This window comes from Homo sapiens, chromosome 12 (genome assembly GCF_000001405.40).
Source record: "Homo sapiens chromosome 12, GRCh38.p14 Primary Assembly".
NCBI classification, from domain to species: Eukaryota; Metazoa; Chordata; class Mammalia; order Primates; family Hominidae; genus Homo; species Homo sapiens.
This window is the reverse complement of record NC_000012.12, coordinates 2,145,005-2,170,583: the sequence shown is the minus strand read 5'-3', so window position 1 is coordinate 2,170,583 and position 25,579 is coordinate 2,145,005. Positions and strand designations below refer to the sequence as shown.

The following is a 25,579-nucleotide window of genomic DNA, read 5'->3' as shown; positions in this document are numbered from 1 at the left end:
TTCACAAGGGTGACTCACTATAGCAGTGAAAACTGACTAATTATTTTGATCTTCTTGAAGTCAATTGCCTCATTAGTGAATATTCTCCATCCTGGGCCAAGACCCAGTCTTGCAGTCAAACTTGGCTCAGTCAACCAAGCATGAAGTGGTGGGACAGCCTGGCCTCTCTCTTTTCTTTAGGTCATGCTTAAGGTCTTCTCTCTCTTGCTCTAAAATGGACATTTCCCTCTAAAAACCAGTGTCTGATCTCAGTCACGGCAGGTAAAGCAGAGTAGAGGGCTTATCCCCCTTTTTTCATAACCCTGATCATGCCAAAGCCATGACACCATGGAAAAAGAATAAGATGGCAAAAGTTCCACTATCCAAAAATGCAAAGCGTCCTTTAATGACTCAGACCTGGCCAAGCTGAAATCAAGCCTGAGATTCACAGATTTAACTGTTGGCCATGGTTGGACATGAGGCTTTCATCTCCTAAGCATCTACTATGAGCCAAACATGAGGTTAAGTGCTGGGGATAAAGGAGTGGAAAAAACCAGGCAGAGAGCCTGCCACAACTGACAGGGGAGCCTCCTGTTTCAGGGGAGCCAGCCCTGCTCTTCTGTGTCACTCTCCCTCAACCCCTCAAGCTCACCTCACCCCACTCTTCTGCTGTCCACAGTCCCCAGATGGAGCACCAGAAGTAGGTAATGTGCTCCTCAATCAACCTGTTCTAACAGAATAGGCCTTCACAAATAGGAGAATTCTGGAGGCAATGCTGTAACACATATGAGTTACATCAATGGCAGAAACTTCAGGCCCGGAGTCAAGGAGGCAGGAGACACACTCAGAAAAGGCCTCACAATGCCCTCAAATAGTAGGAGCAGAGTCCACACATAGGCCTGATTCCACCAGAACCAACAAACAGAGGCTGGCAAATGCCAGCCGTGACCTGACTTGAAGGTCACATGCTGCGACCACATGTTCCACTTTCTGGTATTTCTGCCAAATCCAATTCAGTGACCACAACATGACAGAAGAGAGAGACCTGTTATGGAAAGGTACACCATGTCTACAAGCTTGGTTTGCAGCGTAGAAAAGCCACACAGCCAAGGAAGGGGCATGAGCAGGTGCTTAGACTTGGGCCTTCCTGAGGACAAGCATGTTTTCTCAATCATGCTGGTGAATATCCTCAGGCCAAGCTCAGATGCCTAGCAAATATCTGAAGTGATGTACTCACACGTTTCAGATTGGGAACAGATCAGAGAAAAATTTGAGAGCCATATAAGACAATATCATTTAGTCAGCTCTGAGTAAAATGACATTCATCAAAGTAAAAAGCCGTGCAATCCTGGGTAGAAAGCCTTGGTTTACAGTTCACTCAAGCAACAGCACACAAAAATTATATTGCTGCCTCTCCAATTCCTAAAACCTGATGTTTCACGAACTGAGTGCGGGATCGATTTACAGAGGTGGTGCACTCAGCTACTTTCAAGCACTAAAGGACCTGAGCTCTTAACGAGGCAAAGCACAGAAAAATGTGTCATGCTGAAGGCGAGCGGCTGGACTTTGGATCCCCTCCCCAGCAAGGACAGGTGTTGCTGTTCAGTGTGTCATCACAGTCTCTGACTCACACCAGGGCAGAGCAGGAACTCTTTGCTCTCCAGGAAGCCTTAGAAAGGGTAGGGCATCCTGAGGCTCAGGAAGCCTCATTTTCCTATTGGTTCAGAAACAGGAAAGGATGAAACCAACATGCCCATCACACCACCACCAGCATCTCCTGAGGTTCTCATAAGACCATCATAGAATAGCTTCTCACCCTTCCCAATTTGGGTACACTTTGCAATGAATCCCTAGCATTGGGTTCTTGCTAGGCCCACCTCCACCTCTCTGAGGACTGAAAAAAAATCAAAGTCAGGTTAATAGTAGGCCATTTAAGATCACATAAAATGACCAAATACCTGTTGTGATACAGGAGGTCTGAAGGGAGAGCTGGAGAAATTCAAAGGCTGTTACCCACCCGTGGTGCATTCATTTGTGTTGTTTTGTGCCTCCATTACCTTAATCTATTCACAAGCCATAAAATATCACTAAATGGCATTTTTTAAAGCCTGGGCTTCAAGGGCTGTGTATAGTGCTCTGCAAAAAACAGCCTTGTGGGAACTCCTGGCTACAGTAGGACCAAGTAAAGTCATTAATGGGAAGATCGGAATACTAGAGCCATAAGAGACATTAATGATCATCTAGTTCAACCCCTCATCTTCCAGAGGACAAAAACTGAATTCTGTTTCCCCATCAATCCCCTATCTTTCTACCTCTTTTGATTCATCCTTCATACAGATGCCCAGCAATGTTTCTAAGAACAGTTGTGATCATTTTACTCTTAAGATTAAAGCTCTCCATCACAGCCTTCAGGATCTAGTTCAAATTCCTTAATATAACCCAGAAGGCTTTTGATGATCTGACCTCTGCCTTTCTTTAAGCTGTGCATATTTCCATGCCCCTGTAACACACGCATGCACACATGTACACAAACACTCCCCCCCACACACAAACTGACCTACTTGCAGTTCTTGAAATATCCATTGTGGGAGTTTTGCTTCCAATATCTCAGAGTAGTGTATATTGGACCTATCATCTGAACATAACTATTACTTAGCAAAAAATTAAAAATACCTATTTGCATGCACTAGAGAGCAACTCAAAGCAGGCAGAACCTGGGAGAAGGGAGCATTGGATGAGTTTCTGGGTTTCACAGTTTTTTGCTTGAGAGCAGAACCCAATCTGTAGTATATAGAGTGATTAGAAACTAGATAGAAATCTGCAGGATCAGAAGGGCAGCTGGAAAATGGAAGGAGCAAATGGTTGGGGCAGCTGGAAAATGGAAGCAGAAATCCCCAAAAGGAGAAAGCCTCAGAAGGGATGCTCCAAATTCTGCATATAAACTCCATCCAAATCTGTGGCTGACTCCTGAGCTATACATGCATGGGGCAGATTCCAAGCAACCCATCTAAAATTAATAGAACTGATCAGAGATTTCAGCTTCTGCCCCCCATGGAGGAGATAGTTTGGTGTTTGAGTTCAGTCAAATTAAATGCCTGCTAAAATAAAAAGTCAACACTCTCCAGAGAAACATAATAGAATCCATAGTCTCTACACTAGACCATCAACAATGTCTAGAATATAATCCAAAATTACTAGACATAAAAATATGGCCCATACTTAATAGGCAATCAATGGAGACTGACTCTGAGATGAGTTAAATGTGAGAATTAGCAGACAAGGATTTGTCACACACAATGCTCTGTCATCCATGCCTTTCCCCTCACTAGATAACTCTCACTCATCTAATCTTAGGAATCAACTCCTCCCAGAAGCCTTCCCAGGGCACTTCATTCCTCCTGATCACTCAGGAACTTGTTATATAATTGTCTAGTTACTTACCTGCTTCCTTCTTCTGCTTTCTTGAGAGTAGGGAGTGGTTCATTTTTATCTATAACATCAATCAACAGCACAGGTTTGATGATAAACGTGGGTTGAATGAATGAAACAAAGAATGAAGAAACTGAGACTGATAAAAGCTTGAGTATTGTTGACTCATGGGTCGCCCTTTTCTACCTTGCTCACATTGTCTTGAAAATGCTTGGGTTCTTTTTCTGTTACTACGTCTGGTGTAGGTTATTTCTGTGGCAAGGAGGGCGCAGGCACTGCAGAGATGTGCTCACATCCTGCACACTCCCACACTCAGAAGCCTGCTGCCTAGTCTTCTCCCTGATCCCCACTTTTCCCAAGGTGAGTCTTATTCCTTCTTAGCATCAGTTCCAACGTGCCTACTAATCCTCTGCTTAGACTAGTTAACATAATTTCAGCTAACTTTTATTGAGTGCCTGTATGGTGTGAGGCAGGCACAATGCCAAGCATTTAACAAATACTAACCCATTTAGTCCTCCTAACAACGCTATGAGGGATACATTACATTGCTGCCATTTTACATATGACAAAACAGAGACTGTGAGAAGGTTATTTATAAAATTAGTAACCGATAAATTCCTTTGCCCACCATACTAGACAGAGAGCAAGACTTCAAGAGAAGCCCATTGTTCCTCATTGCTGACACTCCTTAGGTATCTCACTTCTAATTTAGAGGCACTTTGAATGGGGACAGTGTGTCTATCCACCATGAAAGTCCTAATAAACGCCCAAGGCTATATGAAGAATTGATCAGCCAATGTAAAGTTAACCTGAGCACATGCTGCTTGCCCATTATCTTTATGTTTCTCTTCCCTTCCAAAGGGGTGTGAGTGATAATCCCAAAGAATGACTACTGATGGTAGAGGCCTCTCTCTGTTCCTGACTGGAGCTGGTGAGGAGGGGGCCAAGCTGGAGGAATATGGGTAAACATGGCACAGAAGCCCATCATCCCAGCAGCACAGAATGTTTGCTGGGTCTAATGGGACTGGAAAGCTGAGGGCTGATGTAACACATTTCCCCAGAGATAATCAATCTTTGAGAAATCGCTGGAGCACTAATGGGATTAATGGATAAAAGACAAGTCTTTGAAGTTTCACCCTGTCCTGTTTCATCAAAAGCTATTTCTTCACTAACTACGTGCCCTCTGCACGTATGCCATTTCCATTATTTCTTTTTGCTCTCTGAGTATTTATTAAAGTTTGGCTTTCTGGTTTTCCTTTATCTTCTGGAATTCTTTCTGACTCTGAGAGTCAATGTTAAAACTCAGTTAAACACAATTGTCAAGACATGGGAGATCTGGAAGTCCTAAGTCTAACTAAGTCTAGCTCACCTACTGCACACTGTGTGCTAGAAACCTTTGCAAGTACTTGAACTTCAGGCTAATACACACACATACACACACACACACATATGGACTCTGTCCAGAAGTTGCTTGAAAGGTAATGTTCACTCACCATGCATTTTCCACTTAAACAGAAAGGGATCATCTTAAGCCAGGTTAAGTTCATCCAGGTTTCACTGTCTAAAGCTGGGCGATGTTCATCCCGCCATCTACCACTCTTTTAGTTGGTAAGATTGAGGTATCCAAGGTTAGGAAGTGACTTTCCAAGCACTCAAAGCAAGGCAGTTGGAAAACTTTGATTCAGACCCAAAGTCTTTCTTGGGTCTTCATTGCTTAGATCACTGAGCCACCCTCCAAATTTAATACTTGAGAAGGCTTCAGTTACTTAAACCCAGAGCAGCTAGAAAAAGAGAAGCAAGTACCACAGTGTGTCTGTTGCTTTTGGTAGTTCAGGGACAATCTGGAAAATCTCTCCTTAGCAAATCACCTCAAGAATGAAGTGTCTTGTTAAAATAGTTTCTTATCACTGGATTTGTTTCCTTTTTCACAATTTTGTTTAAAAGTGCAGGTTTACAATTGATTTATTTGCACTGGCAGGAAGCAAGAGCAGCCTGTTTGAATCACTCACCAGAAACCTAAGACTCTAGAGAGTCAACCCATGTTTTTGTAAGTCTTCCCAATTCCATAAATTATGGAACTCTATTAAAATGCTATCATGTGCACAATTAGTACTGCTAGTGTTCTTATTAGAACTAAAATGGTTTTCCTCAAATCATTACACTGCTTATGAAAATGATAAAGGCACTGTCTTAAAATGCAACCAATAGTTTACAAGTCAGAAAATGCTCACCAAAGGACTAGAAAACACACCCCTCTGCTTCTTTCCCCTCCCCACTTCAATGACGATGACTGCCACCATTGAGTGAGCTCTGACACTGTGTGTGCGCCATACCTGTATTATCTCACATATTCCTCCATTGCCTTGTGAGACTGGCATTAACTCCATGTTTCTGAAAAGAAAGTGGTACTTAACAAGGTGACTTGCTCAAGGCCACACAACTATTAAGTGGTAGGGCTAAGACTGAAACCCAAGTTTGTCTGATTCCCCAGTCTCTGCTTCTAAACACTACTCAACACTCCCTCATTCTCTTTTGTGACCTTCCTGATATTATGAAGACAAGTTTTTAAGTTACATTCAGGCAAATCAGAGGTGCGGGTGATAAGCCACAACAGCTTACCAGGCTGCAATATGGGGAGCAGAGAGAGACAGGTAAAGGCAATGAGCATCTCTTCGGCTTAGTCTACAATTAGTTCCAGAACTTTGAATTTGAAATGGACCTTAAAGATCATCCAGTTCAACTCTCATTTTACAGATATGGACTGAGCAACCCAGAGAGGCAAAGGGATTTGCCCTGGCAACAAAACCTGGTCTCTGGGTTCCCAGGTCTCCATGTTTTCTACGCCCTCCACAATGCCTCATTCAGTGAACCGTCAGCCTTCATGTGTACCCAGCACAGCCAGGCACTGTGAGAGAGGAAGGAAAGCAGACCCAGTGTCTGGCCCCAAAGAACACAGTCAGGATTATTGTCCATGAAGCAGTCATAAAATGGTGCAAGGGGATATTCTTAAAAGCCCCAACATGGATGACAAACAATGAGGTCACATACATTCTGGGAATGGAGACTCCGTGAAAGGAGCAGGGTCTTGCAGCAAGGAGGGTTTAGATAGAGGAGGGGAGGGAGGAAGCCCACTCCAGGCCCTAGGGATAGAAGAAGCCACGGCAAGGTGGCGGGCAGCTTGGTTTTCCAATTACGCAGCCAAACCTAAAGAAAGAAAGAGACGTCACTTTTGGTATCTACTCCACACGGGAACGTGAACTTTTTACTCCAGCTGGGTTATGGGACCCAGAGCCCGAGAAGCCAGCCTCGGATGCAGGTGGCTCCAGTTATGTTTTAGATCAGCCACAAATAGCCCTTGCTTTGTACAGGGCCGTGACCCCGCCGAGCCATCATCATCACTGGAATGCCTCAGAGGCCAAGGGAAACACATGCAGCCGCCAGAGCCGCTGCAAAATCGATCCAAAATCCAGGGAGCGGGGGAGGAGGGCCTGACTCAGCCATGGTCAACTCGCCTGCCAAAGTCTTCTGGCACCTGGACCATGCTGGAAGACGCTTCTGGATCCCATTCTTTCTGTGAACCTTCACCACTGAAAGCCATTTTCCTTACCCCCACTAGAAAACAGAAAAGTGTACCCAGGATGTACCCACCAGGGGGTGGTAAGAAAAGTCACACATCTTGTTCCTAGGCTATCAATAGCAGGGTGGAAGAAGCATCACAGATGACAGAAAAAAAAAAGGAGCGCTGGGTGTGGAGTCCAAAGATTACACCCTGCCTTGGCCATTTACTTACTGTATGAACCTGGCCTGGTGCCCAAGCCATTCCAGCATCCGCTTCCTTATCTTTGAAGTGAGAATACGAATACTGCCTACGTCACAAGGCTGTTGTGAGGCTCAAATGATGGATGAGAAAATGCACTGTCAATTTTAAAGCATTATACACATTTCAGTGGTCACTTTTTTTTTTTTTTTTTTGAGATGGAATTTCACTCTTGTTGCCCAGACTAGAGTGCAATGGCGTGATCTCGGCTCGGCTCACGGTAGCCCCTGCCTCCTGGGTTCAAGTGATTCTCCTGCCTCAGCCTCCCAAGTAGCTGGAATTACAAGCATGCACCACCACGCCTGGCTAATTTTGTATTTTTAGTAGAGATGGGGTTTCTCCATATTGGTCAGGCTGGTCTCGAACTCCAGTCAGTGGTCATATTTTCCATCAGGGAAGGCATATCCGTGGGTTTTCCATGTGCATGGGCAAATGAGGGGCAGAGATTATTCTAGTTTTAATGAAGACGTTCAAGAAGGCAATGGCTTTGTGCTGGTTCTCAATGGAGTGGTTCACAAAAGTATACCAACAAGGAAATTTCATCTCAGCAAAGTTCTCTGTTTAGGGCATGGATGTCAATCTGGAAACGGCAAAGCCACTACTGATGGTAACATCACTATGGGCCAGGCAGTGTCCCAGGGGTTTTGTATTCATCATCTCCAACTCTTCTTGTCAGGAAGGCAATTTCTCCCCCAGGCCTACTGTTCACCCCTCTGCTATTCACGGGGGCACGTCCTTTCCTCTCTCTGCCCCGTCTCTAGGTCTCCCTGTAGAAGGAGTAGCTATTATAACTAGTTACTCTCAGGGACATTCAGTGGGCAGGCTTACTGTGCCTCAAAGACACGGCCTCCTCCTTCTTTTATTTATTTTTTGTTTTGTGGCTGATAAGAAAAAATGGACCACTGCCCTCTGAACTTTGCTTGCTATTTCCCCCAACTTTCTCTTGTACCCTCAGCCTCCATGTGGAAGGCAAACGGGGCAGACTTGTTTCCCTAGACACAAAATCAGCATCCTCATCCAAGCAGGACTGATGGCTGGAGAGCTGCTCCTCAGAGCGGTTTAGGTTCAGCGGGAGGGGACAGGGAGGCCTCGAATGGGAGGGGGTGGTGGTCAGGTGCTTGTGGAGCTCATTAAGAAAGGGACAACCTCTTTGCCATTTGGATATTGTGCTTTGGGAGTAAGGTGTGTCCTGAGAGGCCCTGGAAGGGTAGACAGGTAGACAGGAGCAGTTAGGCCCAAAACTAAACCCTGAACCCCTAACACTCATAGCAAACCTGCATTTTTATCCCCATTCCTACAGATGAGAAAACTAAGACTTACTCGTAAATAAACTACCATTGTTGACCTTACAATCTGGCTGGAAACAGATAATTAGAACATATCACGAGAAACAGAACAGTTAAGTGCCAAGCTCTGGTGGAGGTTCTAAGTGCCAGAGGTCAGGATATATTTTTGAGTGCTTCTGCTTCCAAACATCACTCTTTCAAAACAAAACACAAAGATCCCCAACCAGCATTTCTGCCCCCTGAGGCACCAGCAAGGTATATAAACGGGCTTGCAAAGTTTGATATACGGTCTCCAGCCTGGCTTTCTTTAGTCTGGGCTCAAAAGCCAGAACCTCTGGGGGCCAGAGAGCGCTCTTTGTTTGCCAAACAGCATTCTCGCACATCCTGTTCTACAGCACCGTCAGTTTGGCTGTGCCCCAGAAAAGTGCAAGTGACTCTTACAAAGCAAGAAAGTAGGCCACAGTCCCCATCATTTTTCACGGCTTGAGGCTCCCATTCCCTCTAGATTCGTTTGCCTTGCCGAAGCATTTATCTCCGCTGCCATGGGCTCTGTGATGGGGTCTGGATTGCAGGGAGAGGTGACAGGCGGGGCCCCTGGCACAGCCACACCGGCACCTCCACCAGCCCTCAGCAAAATGACAAAGTGGGCCGACCAAGCTGGCGTTTAGAGCCTCACACCACTCTCTGTGCCCCTGCTCTGCCCCTGTCTGGAGCCCTCTGTCCTCAGTGCAGCTGCCAACAAACCCCAGGAATAACTAAGTAGCATGCAGTGCCCCCGTCTCTCCCCTCCCAGAGACCCCCTTCCCATCCCACCACATCCACACTGCCTTTGGCAAGGTCTTGTCAATCACATAAGCTGTTATTGATCATTATTCTCTCCTTCCATTCTTGTGTTTATCACAGATAGACAGCTATCAACTCAAGCATCTGTTCAGCAAAGGATAACCAGAGCTAGCCGGGTGCGGTGGCTCACGCCTGTTATCCCAACACTTTGGGAGGCCGAGGAGGGTGGATCACGAGGCCAGAAGTTCGAGACCAGTCTGGCTAACATGGTGAAACCCTGTCTGCACTGAAAATATAAAAATTAGTCAAGTGTGGTGGCGCACGCCTGTAGTCCCAGCTACTCAGGAGGCTGAGGCAGGAGAATCGCTTGAACCTGGGAGGCGGAGGTTGCAGTGAGCCAAGATCAAGCCACTGCACTCCCGCCTGGGTGACAGACCAAGACTCCGTCTCAAAAATAATAATAATAAAATAAAAAATAACCAGAGCTACCATACCAAATCGATACTCTTTCACTGGAAAGCAAAGAAACTTGCCATTTTAGTTACTCTTTGCAGCCTTATCTTAAATAAATGGGCAGTTTCCATTAGGTGTTTTGAAATATTAAGAAGTGCTCTCTGGCCACCATTATGCCTGTTATGAGATCCCAGCATGTGGGAGCTCCAGGTTGGAAATTACTGTGATGATGGGTCATAGTATTTTTCCTCTTAGGGACACCTGTATTTTCCTTAATTTCCAAATATTCTTCAAGACGCAAACTACTGGATCTCAAATCATTAGATTTCAGGTAGCAAAAGTGGAAACAACAGGGAACTGGGAAGGCTGCAGCAGGCCCTCTGTGGTGGCCCCTTTTTGCCAAAGTTACGAGCCGTCTGAGGATGCAGGGTGGCAGATATTTGGTCCTCTTTGAGGATCAGAGACAGGAGAGAGAAAGTGAGTACATGTCACAGTTACCATGTTTATTCAGCCACTGAGTGTCTGCTATGTGTCAGGCCATGTGCTAAGCAAATAAACAGTCAACTGTGCCAGCTAGGAATCTGTGGATACAGCACGCTTCTCCCATCTCAGAAGAAAAAGCAAAACGTACCACTTCTGACAACTCACCACTGGAGAGCATGAGAGAAGCATTAAGTAAGACCTCCCTGACATCGCACTAGGGCCACAGCCACACCCAGCAGAAATCCAGAGGCGTATAGGGCAGGTGGTAACTAGCAAATTAAATAGGATCCCAGCAGGACGGTCCAGAACAGGAGCAATGAAAACAAGGGGAAATAAGGAGAAAAGAAATTGCCTCAATGCCCAGCACATAACAGATACTCAAAACAAAATCTGTGGAATAAATGAATGGACAACACAGGACTCTTGTTTTACTTACATGAAATAAGTCTAGGCCAGGAGCGGTGGCTCACGCCTATAATCCCAGCACTTTGGGAGGCCGAGGCGGGCAGATCACCTGAGGTCAGGAGTTCGCTACCAGCCTGGCCAACATGGTGAAACCCCGTCTCTACTAAATACAAAAGATTAGCCAGGCGTAATGGCACATGCCTGTAATCTCAGCTACTTGGGAGGTTGAGGCAGGAGAATTGCTTGAACCCGGGAGGTGAAGGTTGCAGTGAGCCGAGATTATGCCGTTGCACTCCAGCCTGGGCAATGAGAGCGAAACTCCCATCTCAAAAAAAAAAAAAAAAAGAGAAAGAAAGAAATCTAAAGGAGATAAACACCAATAATCAGCTATTCATTTTTCTAGTTTTAATCTTTATCTCTTATGCATACATTTAATTTATTTATTTATTTATTTATTGACAGGGTCTCACTCTGTCCCCAAGGCTGGTACAATCACAGCTCACTGCACTCACTGCAGCCTCAACCTCCCAGACTCAAGCAATCCTCCCACCTCAGCCTCCTGAGTAGCTGGGACCACAGGCACACGTTACCACACCCAGCTAATTTTTGTATTTTCTGTAGAGACGGGGTCTCGCCATGTTGTCCAGGCTGGTCTCAAACTCCTGGGCTCAAGTAATCCTCCCAACCTTGGCCTCCCAAACTGCTGGGATTACAGGCATGAGCCACCATGCCCGGCCTATACACATAATTTAAAGAGTCAATTTGTTCTAAAAGGTTCATTGAAGAAAAAAAATCCACAGTTCTCTTCTTACCCCCCTCCCCAACCTGCCCCTCAACAACAATAAGCTTTCAATTCCTTAGCTGTTTCTTTTGGTATTCCATTCCATATTTTTAATAATATGCTTATGTAGCCCCTTGGTGATTTTTAAGGTTTTTTCCTCATCATAGAAGGTAAGGGTTTAGCCCTCTTTCACCTCTTCCCTATCCTCTGCAATAGTTTTGTCATGATTTAGTTTAGATCAATGTCCTGCATCCACTTTATCACGACTATGAAGGGCCCCCTCTCACATACTCCATCTTCTGTGTTGGCCCCCATTTCCGGGATCCTATGTTTCCCTTGGTTTACTCCCTCCTCATGGTGAAGAACTCCAATAGCTTCCTGAGAGAAGGTGCATCGGGCTAAGTTTTATTTTTTTCTTTTTGTTTTATATTTTTACCTATCTGAAAATGTTTCTCTTTTACCTTCTTGCTTGAGTGATAGTTTGATCAGATATAAAATTGTCAACTGGAAATCATTTTTCTTCAGAACTTTGAGGGCAATTCTCCTTCGCCTTCTAGCTTCCCACATGGCTGCGGGTAAATCAGGCTGATTCCTGACCTTTTGTAATACATTTCTTCTTTCTAGAAACTTTTTTTTTCTTTGAGACAGAGTCTTGCTCCATCGCCCAGGCTCAAGCAATCCTCCCATCTCAACCTCCTGAGTAGCTGGGACTACAGGCACGTACCACCAAGCCTCGCTAATTTTTTGTATCTTTGGTAAAGACATGGTTTCGCCATGTTGCCCAGGCTGGTCTCGAACTCCTGAGCTCAAGCGATCCACCCGCCTCTGCCTCTGGTACTGGGATTACAGGCGTGAGCCACTGTGCCCAGCCTAGAAACTTGTAAGATCCAATTGTCCCTACTTTTCTGAGATGTCACAAAGATGTACCCTTGGGATAGGCCTGTTTCATCTATTTGTAAGGGCACTTAATGAGCCATTTCAATCTGGATACTAATATCCTTCTGTTCTAGCAAATGTACTAGAACTGTCTCATTGGTGATTTCCTCCCCTCTGTTTTTGTAGTTATCTCTTTCTGGAACTCCTAGTATTCAGATACTGGACTTCCTGGACTGTCTAATGGTCATATTTTTTTTACTCCTAATTTCCATCTCTGATTTTTTGCCCTACTTTCTTGGATATTCTTCAATTTTGTTTTCTAACCATTCATAGCACTCAGTCATCACATTTCTTAATTATCAATGTTTTAATTTTTCCCTTTACATAGCAATCAGCTTCTGTATCAAGGATATAATATCTTATCCCTCTAAAGACAGAAAATAATGTGTTTTTTTTAAGTTTTCCTCGTGTATATTCTGATTTAAATAGGCATCCTTTGCTTGTTAGCTTTGGTTTCTATTTTCAAGGCCTTCCTAAGATATTTAGGGACATTTAGGGATCCTTAACTGATGGACCTTATTTAAGAGAGAACCACCAAAAACTGATGGGACATTGTGAGCACAGGTGTGGCTTATGATGCACTAGGCTTTGCTCTAAGGCCCCACAGCTGGAACGCCCTGTTGGCTAGATCTTAGGGCCCCCTTAGGGCTGTCCTCTTTAGGCTGGTCCACTCTGCCAGGGAAAGCCACGCAGATCTTCTGCCTAGAGAGTACAGGCTTATGGGACAGCACTCTGAGAGCAAGTGGGAGATACTCCAGAAGTCTCAGCCCTGTATTCGCCCCGGGCGTGCTGCCCTCCATTGTGCCAGTGGTGCCCCCATGCAGACCTCTTGCTTTATCCCCATTAGAGAACATTCCGCTTTATCCTCCAGTCCTCAGCTGAAATGGGAAGAGTATTAGTTGCTGAGAATAGGAGTAGGGGTCTGAGGTCTAATTAATTTTTTTCAATGGACAGATAAAATTATATATATTTACTGTGTACAACATGTTTTGAAGCATGTTTACATTGTGGAATTACTCAATCTAGCTAATTAACATATGCACCACCTCACATAGTTATTATTTTTGTGGTGAGAACACTGTGCCATCTACTCTTAGCATTTTCTAAGAATACAAACGTTGAACCAATTCTCCAGTTCTTAGCCCCATTTTAACCGTCACTTCCAAAAATACCTGATACCACAATTTCCAAGCCTTTTGGAGGTTGTGAGCTGCAAGTTTAATTGTGTCTCAATTTTCCCCACTGCCGCTTAGGATTCAGCTGTCTCATACAGTACATGCAAAGTCTGTTACTACTTGTCCATCTACTTTCCAGCTTTCCCAGCTGCCACTGGGCTGCATGAAGGCAGAACATCTCCAGTGAGTTCAACATTCAGCTCCAACCTTAAGCCTCCACCATGGCCAAGAAAGGCATTGCTGCTGGGGGAGAAATGGACATTAACACTGCTTCAAAAGGGTGCTGAAGACCACCCTCATCCCCGATGGCTTAGCTTGTGGAATTCACGGGTACTTGCATCTGACCCTCATGAGTCTATGTAGAAAAACCTGGTTGAGGAACTGTTTGTTGACACCCACATCAGCTTAACTGAGGTTGGTCAAACTAAAGGAATGGAGAAGGCCTCTGCAAAATCAGCAGAAAAGCAAAGCCCTGTAAGCAACTGGTTGCAGCTGTATGGTTGTTAAGGCCAGCGCCAAAGAATCAAAGCCAAATATGTCATCAAAGAGTATTTCAAATACAAAAAAATGAACAAATAAACACCGGTGGGTGATGTCTTCTTTGGATTCATTTTGTCTTTGTGGTTTATGCATTTTTTAACGATTCCTTTACCATCATGTTAGTGTGGTTTTGGAAGAGAGCATTCAACCCACCATATGAATCTGCAATTTTTACGCTACTAGCTTTTTTCTGATTTCCATGTCACTTTATTCTATTTTTATTTAAAAGGTACATATGACATATTTTTATAGTTTAATGAATAATAAAGCATACTTTCATGTAACTACCATCAATCCAGAAACACAACATTACCTTGACTTTGCGATCATCATTTCTTGACCTTTCTTTATGCTTTTGCCACGTATGTATGTGTACCTTAAAAGATAGCTTCATTTGGCCCATTTTTAGCTTAACAGGAATGGAGTCCTGCTGAACACACCCCTTTGCCATGTTTCTTTCACTCAACCTTAGGTCTGTCAGATTCACTCTTGTTCTTGTGTCTAAGCTGCAGATTTTTTTTATTTGCGTCTTTACTCTTTAAGGAAAAATGCTTTATAACAATAATAAAAATTAGAGTCATTGGGGAACTATGGAGGGGACAGAAAAAGAAAGATAAATAATTTGTTCAACGTTAAGATAAAAAATCCTCAGGTTCAAAAATATTTCTCTCAAGCACGGAGCATAATTAAACCCTGGAAAACATGAGAAAAGCACCCCTAAACTGGCTTTCCAGGGACATCTGGCTCATCCTCCCACCTCCGGTGGCTCTAAACTAGTCTAAGTGCCCGTTTTCGCTAGGAAAGGAGACACCCTCATTTGAATTGGTGATGTCTTCTAAGAGGTGGTCAGTTTCTCCTTTCAGCAATCCAATATGCTCTCACAGCACTTTTAAGTGAGACACAGCCCCAAGTGACATGAGGCTCTAAAACTGGTAACTCCTTATATAAGGAAAACTGATTGAGGTCAGAAATTCCTTAACAAACAATTGAGCTATTCTAGTCAGTTCCACAAAGGCCAAAGAATGGTGAGAAAATGACAATAAAAACTCATTATGTACGGAATTCTGAAAAAGTCCTTAAGATCCTTTGGGGCAATTCTATTTTTTTTTTCTTTTCATATAGGGAAACTGAAGCCCAAGCAAAGTAAAATTGTGTGTCTAAGTGACAAAGCTCTCTGGGTTGCAGTCTCTTCCTCTGTGGAGGAAAGGTGTTCTAGTACATGATCTCCGGGACCCTGAAGAGCACTAACAAAACTCCTGTTGTCCACAGGTCCATCAATCCCACACCAAGGGAACCACTGTCATAGAAAATGTGTCTTCACGCTCCACGTTCTCCACGCAAAACAACGCCCATGACACACCAGGGGTGTGCCTCTGTGTGTGTGTGACGCCTCTGTGTATGTGTGCGCCTGTGGGATTGCAAGAGAATTATGTCTGTGTTAGGAGAGTCTTCCCACAATGCCAGGATTCACCAAGTGAAAAAAATCTTTCATCTCCCGATAACTCAACACACAGAGATAGACGGCACCTATACTCTAGGACGGCAGGATGGGCCGCTTTCAGAGCACAGAGCCGGCTCCGGAGACCAGCCTGAGGGAATACCCCACTTTGGGGAGCTTTGTCAACACCAACATGATCATCGGGAAGCTCCCACCTACCCACTGTCCTGCGGGGAGCTTCTGTATCATTGGCAAGACAAGGCTGATAAACGAAACTGTGAGAAAACAGTAGAAAGCAGCTAAACTCTCCGATCAGACATTCTGTGCCTTTGGAGCTGAGAGAAGGAAGGAGGCAGCGTAGGCAGCAGTCATCAGAGAGGGGGGCGTTCTAGGCTTCAGTTTCTCCCCATTTATAAGTCTGCCTGGTAAACCTTCAGTGACTTCTTCCCTGGAGCCCAGGATTCCCCACTAGGCAAATCCCAAGGCCTTGGAGTTGTAGCTGCAAACACAGGACTCCAGGTTGAGACCCCTGAGCCCTAACCCCAGCCTCTTCCCTGACCCACTGCTGGCCCCGGGTGAGGAGTCTCCCTCATTGCTCCTGTTTGTTAAGTGGGCGCCAGGCTGCTGGACACAGCTGGCCACGACCACGATGAGTGGGGCAGGGAGCAGGAAGATTCCGTGTGTGCGGGAAGGAAGCAGCTCTGTGCATTGGAGGTGGTGTCCTTTTGATAACCTGGCAGGTTTTGTTTTCTGACCGCCCACTCTTTGATTGCCTTTCCAAGTGTACCATCCCCTGTCCCTCCCCGGCCAGGCTCTGCAGCACAAGCTGGAGTGGGATGTAGGATTTCTTCGTTGTTTGTTTTTAAGTAGGGCCTGTCACTGGGGGAAGATGACTAAGCCTCCTTTTGTCAGGAAGAACCCAAGATTTTTAAACAGAGAAGCTGGAGGAAAAAGAACTCCTCTGGGTGGACCTGTTGTTGAATTTCATACAGGAAATCACTCGAGTGAGAGAAGAGGCCGGGAATGTCACTGGGGAGAAGGGGAAGTCTGATTTTTTTCTTGAATTTTAAAGAACCTCTACCCAGCATTTTGGGAGAAAGGGAACAGAGTGCAGACAAAGGGAAATAAATGTCCAAGGACGGGTGAAAGCTGCACTTGTTGAGGTGGCACTTGGTGAGACCCTGTGATTATTCAGCTTCTCTGAGACAGTTAATATTTCAGATTTTGCCAAGTACCTTCCAATTATCTTATTAATGATCTATGCCTGTGTGCTCCAAATAGACAAGGCAGGCACCATTTGCTCCATCTCCCAGGAAGGAAAAGTAAAGATGAAATGAGGAGAGCCTTTTCCCCAAGAGGGCTGCCCCACCCCACGCAGAGGACAAAGGAAAACTGCAGGGCGGAGGCCTCATGGTCCCTGTCAACACGGCCCTGTCCTTCCTACCAGCAAGGGATCCACTTGCCTCTCCCATGACTTAGCCAAAACTAGCTCCAGTCACAAAAGGACAAATACTCTGAGATTCCACTTATATGAGGTTCCCAGAGTGGTCAAATTCATAGACAGAAAGTAGAATGGTGGGTGCCAGGGGCTGGGGGAAGGGGGAATGGGAACTGATTGTTTAATAGGTAGAGCGTTTCAGTTTTGCAGGAAGAAAACAGTCCTGGAGATGGATGGTTGTGATGGTTGCACAACAGTATGAATGTACTCAATGCCACTTTAAAATGGTTAAAATGTGAATGTTATATTATGTATATTTTACCACAGTAAAAAAAAAAGTAGCCTCCATTCTAAATTGGAGAAAGAGTTCTGTAAGTGGGAAGCTTCTTGAGTGTTGTCTTTCATTAACCTCAAGGATAAGGGCCAATTCCTCAGGCAAGTCCCAATAGGCTTTGCAGGAACAACAGACACAGAGAGAGGATTGAGAGGAAAATCAACTGCTCCATTCGCTCAAGGGTCATTAAAATTGATTATTAAAGTTAGATCCGAAATGAGTCTATCTCCTAGCCCTTCACTCTGCTGATCTCTGCCATAGTGACCACCACTGAAAGGCAGCTGGATGCCCAAAACTGTTTGTTTTCCTTTGCTTTGTAACTACCTCCTTGAGCTTTCACCTCCCAATTTTAATTTTTCTGCCACCATTCCCAATCTCTAGGAGAATCCAGTTCCAATATTATCCAATATAAAGGGCCGTAGGACACTCGGGACCAGTGGGACCTACCAATCTTTCCTACCGGGCACACCAGTCCTGTGGGTGACATGGGAAACGGAAAGAGGAGGAGGAGAAACAAGGCACTTCCACCTCCTGGTTCCATGTCCTGACTTTTTTGTGTTACTTGAACTTGGCCAACTTATCCAAGTGCTATCTGTTGTTTTATTTTTATTTCTTAATTTTTAAATTTCTTTGCCTTCCAAAATCAAAGTTCCCAATAAGTAGGGTATAACTTAAGTTATGAATTGAACCATGGTTGACAGAGACCAAAACAACAGGGATTCCCCATGAGAGACATTTACTTCCTCTCTCCCATGGAAGCCCTCCCCCAGCCATCACCGCCTTCTGAATGGTTGCTCCAGCACCTGGAAAGGGTCTTTTAGTCTGCATGATATGAAATGGCTCCTCACCATGACGGCAACACGCCTGCAGAGGGAGAAAGGGAAAGGGCAGGCATGACTTTGCCTTCAAGGGCACACACCGGAAGTCACACGCATCACCTCTGCTGACATCCTACTATCTAGAACTTAGTCACAAAACCTCACTTAGCCACAAGGGAGGATGAGAACTGTAGTTCTTCATTCTAAGCAGTCATGTGCCCAGCTGAAAATTCTATCCCTATGAAAGAGGTAGAGAACAGACACTGGGTAACAGTCATTTCTGTCACAAGTGGCATCTTTGCCCTCTTTTGTATGAACAATCCCTACATTAATGTGCATGCCATAATGTGGTCCATTGCAACGCAGCTATCTAGGGAAGGGCACCATCGATGTTTTCCTGAAACTAAATGACCATTACCACAAATAGCAATGAGACTGAGTTTCAAGTTTCTCACACTAGTCAAGGCACTAAAAACGCCAGGGTTTAAAATCTGCCCAGATAGGCTGACTGTAAGTCATCCACCGGCTGCCACACCCTCGCTTGGTTCAGATCTCCCAGAGGATACTCTGTCCCTGGGGCAGCACTAGCTCAGATATACCTGGCAAGCATTAAGCTATTGAAATGGCCTCTGCCCAGCCCTTGGCTCATCCACCCGTGCATCAGAATGGATTCCTGAGGGTCCACTGACCTATGTATTTGGGATGGAGGAAGACAAGCTTCGTGTGTGTCTCCGAGAGTGGCCTGCTGTCATCTGTACTTTTTTGTAACACTCTCTTCATGATGGAGGCCAAGACAAGGTAAAAATCTCCCTTCTTCATCAATACAAAGCCATTTCTGCAAACCTGGCTCTCTGCCCAGCTTCACGACCCATTCTATGACAAGCGCTTATTCTCTGAGACGTACCCAGCCTCCCAGCCAGATGCCTTGGCCTGGCTACTGAAATGTATGTGATAGGGACAGAGTCCAAAGCCAGTGAGTCTTCTGTGCAGAGTTGCTCCTGAAAAGGGAAAGACTATTTCTGGTTCTGCTACTCCAAACCAATGCAAATGTCTATAAAAACCTATAAAAATGGCTCCTCAGTCAGACACCCCTCCTACCATCTCAAATCCCTTTTTTTTTTTTTTTCAGCTACCACTGGTCAGCCAGTGGTATATACAAAGAATCCTGGCTATGGTAAGGGTGCCTTCAATTTTATTCAGACCTGGGCAAAAAATAAAAAAAAAAATCTTACTGTGCCTCAGTTTCCTCATTCTGTAAAGTCAGGGAATTGGATGAGATGATCTGATCTGCAAGTTTTCTTTTAGCTCCAATGATCCATAAACATTGATTTCTACGGAGTTGAGTTGAGTTGTGGCCATAGGAATCCTGTACCACTTGTAGAGTCTGTTATGAACAAAGTTCATGAGTTCAGTAGAACTCAGGGAAGCTGTGACTGTCATGCTTCTCCGTAATTGCCACAGACAGACCAACAGTGAACTCAGCCAGAGGAACCAGCCAACACAAAGGAAAGCATGCAGGACCCAAAGACACAGGCTGCTACAGGCCTTGGCACCTGCCCAGAAGTGGCGTTGACCACCATTTTTACATGTCACCTTCCCAAGAGGCATTTCCCAAGTGCACTGTACCTTATATAGCACTCTACTAATGGAAAAGATTGTTATCAGAGTGAGAAAATAAGAGCGGTAGAGACAGTTTCTCCATCTCTACCTCTCAAAGGAGAGAAGCAGAAGGAAACTGAAAACCTAAACTTGTGGGTTAAATTTTGATTCTGTGTCATTGTCTTCAAAACACCCATGTAAATAAGTATTCATTGCATGCCAACCCACACGTGTTTTTCGCCAAATGCCCCTTTCATCAGAACTCACAGAAGGAATGAAATTAGCCTTACCTATTTTAAAGCCACCTAACTTTCTAGAGGAGAGGGAGTGCACTGCTGTTATCAAAGCTGCTCTGTAGCCTGGGAGCCCTGTTTGGGAATTAAGAGGGCGGAATATCATGATGTGAACACGGCTCTTGTTCTTCTTTGGTGAGCATTCCACATTCTGGGTGCATGAAGCTTATCCTGGAATTCCCCTACTCTGTCTTCCCTCTGCCCTGTTCCCCAGGGAATGTTGGGAGACTGGGGAATGGAGGTGACATTCACTCCTCTTGAGTTCTGTGATGTCACTTGATAGACACCTGCCTTCTACCTCTTTCTTCCATGTAGTGGCTGCTCTAGAGACCAAGGACAAGACCCATCCTATTCTCCGTGTTATTTTTACAGTGCAGCCAGACACGGGCTTATCCTGCAAGCTCCAGGCCAGCCAAAACTGGAACTGCGTCTCTGCTCCTGACCAACATGAAAAGTTCCTAAGCTGATACAAAAGGTTGCCAGCCAGCCCCTCTGGGAGCTGCTACTCTTGCTGCCCAGATTCCATGAGCACAGCATGGCTCTCTGTTACCCAGTCTCCATGCTGGGTCCTTGACCCCCTTTTAGTGCCTCTGGGCCTGGACACCCCATGCATCACTAGTTATCATAACCTGGCTCCTCATCCTTGCTTCCTGCTTCCTGCCCAGTCTTGACTCATAATTCCAGTTTGGTCCTTTAAACTCTGCCTGCTATCCAAATTGCTGGGCTACTAGAGGTGCTGATGTTCTACTTCAGCCTGGGCCCCAGGTCAGGCCTCCGGATCCACCGGCAGCCCTTTCCTGGGGTGTGCTCCCCCCTGGGTCCTACACAGCTCCCAGTGAGAGCTGATCTTCCTTACTTGGGGTTGGCTCTCTTAAATTTGGGTCCCACCTTCCGCCTAAAACTGAAAGAAATTTCTCTCGCCCTGCATTTCAGGTCATTGTCTCTTACTCAAGGGAAGTCCCAATCTGAGAAGTTCTCTGATAGGGCAGACAGTTAATAAATGTTCAGGAAAAATAAGATACTGTTGAAAACCAGAAAAGTCAGTAGCCCACTCTCTACTGCTATGAGCATTCCTAAAGCGGGAATGTTCACAGCAGTAGAGCATTCCTACAGCCAGGATTTTCCTAAACTCCAGCTTTCCAAAACACCATCCAGTAGAGATATGTCTTGCAATCGAAATATTAAATGGGTCTTGGGCTTTTTAAGAGAGTCCAGAAAAGACCGTGACATTTCCTATGATATTTCACCAGGCCTCTCTTTCTTTCTCTTGGCTTTGAGCCTCGGAAGGATGCATACTCAGCTTGATTCTTCACACTGGCCTGGCATGAGTCTGAACATGTGCACTCATCTGAGCATTTCCACAGGGTCACAAGAACAAAATGCAAAACCCCAAGATAGGTCATAGCTGCCCTTTCTTCCTCAACATCCTTTGTGAGTTCTCAGATCAAGCAAACTCATCAGTCTATTAGTTAATTCCACATTAGCCCCAAATGTCATCTTGCAAGGTTTCCTCTGCTGCTTAGGTGACCCCCAAGACCACATCTTCCCAGATGCAAGACATCCCTTGCCAAGTCTTTACAGATGACCCAAGGAAAAGTCATATTCTCTGTGGACTCTCCACTGGAAAAGTCAAAAAAATAAACTGTTAGGGATGGTCCAGACAGGCTGCAAAGCAATGAGTCCCAGGGCCACCCGCCAGGCTGCCCACTGGACTGCGTCTGGTAGTGCATAGAGCCAAGGAAGCACAGGTCCCAAGGCAACTCCTCCAGACCGCAGGGAGGGAGGGTACTTTGGAGGTCGAGGCAGGAGGACAGCTTGAGCCCGGGAGTTTGAGACCAGCTTAGGACAGCAAGACCCTGTTTCTACAAAAAATTACAAAAACTCGCCGGGTGTAGTGTCACATGCCTTGTAGTCCCAGATACTCAGGAGGCTGAGGTGGGAAGATCGCTTGAGCCCAGGAGGCAGAGGTTGCAGTGAGCCGAGATCATGCCACTGCCCTCCAGCCTGGGAGACAGAGTGAGACCCTGTCCCAAGAAAACCAAAAAGATGACAAATTCAAAGTTCCTGGCACATAATACATGCTGTAGATGGTAATCATTACTAGTATGATCAAAGTAAATGGCAGCTAGAGGGAAGATGTGACCCAGAACCCCTGGAGCCTGGTCTGGCCATGAAAAGAGTTTGATCAAATATACAAATGTGAGCAGCAGGGATTTCCATCTGCAATCTTTGAGCCATGGCTGGAAGACAAGTTCAGACGCCCTCTTGCCCATAAGTGGGATCAACATCTCCATGGCAGGTCTTTTCAGTGCGATATTTCAATACGAAAGACAGAGACAAAGTTTCCAAAAAGAACCATCGGGCAACAGGGAGTTTAGTTCATAAGAGATTTATCAGAGATTTCTGTGGTTGTGTGGATGATTGGTTTGCTGCAGAGTGATATATTTAGGCTTTTTCTCACATCTTTCTCTACTCTAAAGTCCCTTCAGAGATTCCTTATGACTTTATAATGCTAATCCTTTCAAAAATTTTTGAAAAATTTGACAGGTTTTATATAAGTGTGCATGTATGTGTATATATGCATGTAAACATACAATTTTTAGAAGCCTAGAAGTTGCATAAATATTCTGTATTCCCATTCCTAGCATCCTCCTGTTACCAGATGTACTGATGGCATATTGCTTTCCAATGGGATTCTGCACAACTGACAATGGTAATCCTAGGATTATGAACCAAGAACATGAAAACTCAAGTGTGAAGAGGTGGGTTTTTCAAAAGGTGTGAAAACCTACTGCCTATTTGCCCCCCCAAAATCCCCCCAAAACATTTGAGAGTAGAAAGAAGTCTTCTTTCACTCTGTAATTTGCATTTTCTCTCCTTCCAATCTGACCATCGTATTTTCATTAATTTCATTTTACATTTTATCCTCAGATATATACTTCTTCACATCTTTATCTTCCCTCTTCCTCCAGTTAGTTCTGACACTCATTCAATCTTTACTCTCTCCACTCTCTCACCTTTCTGCTTTCTCCATCAATAATGCAGTTAATGGAAATTATCTAACATTTGTCACAAAGAGGCAACAGGTCCCTGGAAGTATTTAATAGCAGATAATTCTGGCAAAGCCCCAATACCAATAAAGCTAGAGGTCTGCTTTGCCCAAATTTGGCATTTCACTCCCCAAAGTTGCCTAAGGAAGTTGTCAATCACTTTCCCATTTATTAACATCATACAGAAGCACACTGGAAGGAAGCCTGGCCTGGCTGAAACAGCAGAGTTTATTCCCACCATCAACCTCTATAGCACGCTGTTTCTAACTTTCCTCTCTCTCTAGTCAGCCCCACTTCTTGAAATTTAATCTAAATTGCTCAATTTCTTTGAAGCTCCTGAAACATTAAACAAGCAACTCACAACATTTTGGAGGTTCCCCCCCTCTCTCAGTGATTCGTTTGCTGTAATTTCCCTAGAAATCCCTTAAGCCCTGAATTTATAGACCTAGAGATAGGGACAGGAGAAAGGATAGAGCTAGTATGGAGATATGACTTAGAGTGACATTGATTTGCTTTGATAATTGGGGGGGTTGGAGAGCTCTCAGGGAGGATATGTCTGTCCTCTCTCCTTTGCCTGTGTCTGGAAGGGCTCAGGCTGTCCTTCCCCTCTCTTCCCTGCTTCCCCTAACTCAGCCCTGCTTGGGTCCAGTTAACTCAGCCCTGCTTGGGTCCAGCCCTGCTTGGGTCCACCCTTAGACATTCACCTTGGATGATTAAAGGCCTGAAAAATCACAGTCAAGTCATAACAAACCCATTCTGCAGAAAAGAGGGGAAAGGGTGAAGAAGGCTACGCGAGTTTGGTTGTGTGACGCTCTGCCCACCAGCAGGTAAACAGAATGGGGTACTGAGAGCAGAAAGCTGAATGGGAAAACCAATAATTGAGGCTGTCAATAGTGGAAACACAGAATATGCCTTTCCAATGGCTCTGCTTTCGTCTAAATCCTGCCCTTCCCTAGGCCTGTGCCCACCGCCTCCCCACACCTTTCCCAAAGACCTCAGGCCCGGGGCTGCCCCTCCTGTGGCGCCAGTGGAGGGAATTTTGTACCATTCATTATCATTTTTTATCCAAGTAACCTGACTCCTCAACCAAAATGTATTTGTGAGTCCCTTGCCACATACTGCTACTCAATCAATATTTATTTTACTATGATGAGCACACAAAGATGATTCTGATTCCTATGCTGATGACGGCCTCACTCAAGTGCCACTTCACAAGTGAAGCCTTTCCTGACTCCTACTGTAGAATTTTGGAGCCAGAAAGGCGCGGAGAGATTCTTGAGCCCTCTATCCCTTCTCTCAACTACCATTACCTGCTTCTCAAACTGGTTCTTGTCTCCCCAGTCTGATCATAAATTCCTCGAGGGTGAGAACCTTTCCTTGCCCCAATCTAAACGTGACAGGGAAGAGGGGTGATAATAACCCCTCTCTTCTTTTGTTACTATCCCAGTGTTGAATTAGAAGGCACTCAATAATAAAAATAACAATAACTTCCATTTGAATGCTACACAATTTACAAAGAGCTTTTAAAAACATTATCTCTAATGAGATAATGCCCCTCACAAAAAGCCTGGGTGTTAAGTAGGTATAATCAGCTCTAAGTGACAGATGGAAACTGAGGCTCAGGAGGGTTAAGTGACTTGCCCAAGGGCAGAGAGCCAGGTTCGCATTTCTGGTGTGGATCAGCATTTTCCTCTACACTGCAGGGCCTCCCCAGAGACTTTAAAACATCCCTAGCATGAAATGACTATCAGGCAAATTGAGGCAAGAAAGACAAATTCCAGGAAAGCTCACTCCTGCCACGAAATCCCACACTTGGCCATACTTGACATTTACAGTAATCAAGATTTAATCTAGCGTTTTCCTCACAAGCCCACGGACTACTTAAGCCCGCAGGTACCATACCCTCTCTCACAGAATGCCCCTTGCCCAGTGCCTGGTACACAGTAGGCACTCAATAACTGGTAATAAAATGAGCAAATGATGACAAAATAAATGAGCAAGCAAACACATGTATAAACCTACAATGAGAGGCGTGTTGAAGCTATAAACGTAACCAAGAATAGATTTCAAATCTAAAGGAATCCACAAGTGTAAGAAAAGCTGATTTCAATTTATAGAATTACAAATGTTTGAGATAAAACAGCTCTAACACAAGCAAAGACCCAGCAGAATAAACAAAGAGTTTTATTACTTAGCTCCAAAAGGCCAAAACCAGCAATTCTACACTGGAGAAAATGAAAAGAAAAAAAAGTTATTCAGGCAGGAAGCTCTTCCAATTCCAAAAGGATAAATTAACTATAACCATTTTTTTTACAAAAATAAAAATAAACAAGCTTTACTAGAAATGGCTAGCTACAGGGGGAAATACGTACTTCAGCAAGTCAGAATTTAAAGTCTTGCTAATAGGTAATGACAGCAGGCAGCCCTTAGCAGCTCAGCATCTCACCAACAGTTAAAACAGCCTTAAACACATATACTTTTTGTGCATGCTAATTGAGTTTTCAGTTTAACAATCTCTCCAATATAGTGCTGCCCTCCTGTC

The 25,579-nt window shown here is 44.8% G+C and overlaps 1 protein-coding gene and 1 long non-coding RNA gene across 56 annotated transcripts in view, besides 1 other annotated feature; both read right to left on the bottom strand.

Moving 5' to 3' along the window:
* The window catches only part of CACNA1C (calcium voltage-gated channel subunit alpha1 C), a 727,171-nt gene that overhangs the window by 527,367 nt on the left and 174,225 nt on the right, over nt 1-25,579 (bottom strand). The gene's annotated exons all lie outside the window — the stretch shown is intronic.
* Nucleotides 2,020-25,579, bottom strand: part of LOC107984131 (uncharacterized) — a 36,596-nt gene continuing 13,036 nt past the window's right edge. Inside the window, exon 2 of the long non-coding RNA XR_001749435.2 lies at nt 2,020-21,750. This is a non-coding gene — a long non-coding RNA (uncharacterized LOC107984131). The remainder of the gene's footprint in view (nt 21,751-25,579) is intronic.
* Nucleotides 18,114-18,333: a silencer, noted in NCBI's record as "silent region_4128". NCBI's record gives its function as "represses an Ori minimal core promoter by ATAC-STARR-seq in GM12878 lymphoblastoid cells {active_cell/tissue: GM12878}" and the evidence as "EXISTENCE:reporter gene assay evidence [ECO:0000049][PMID:35858748]".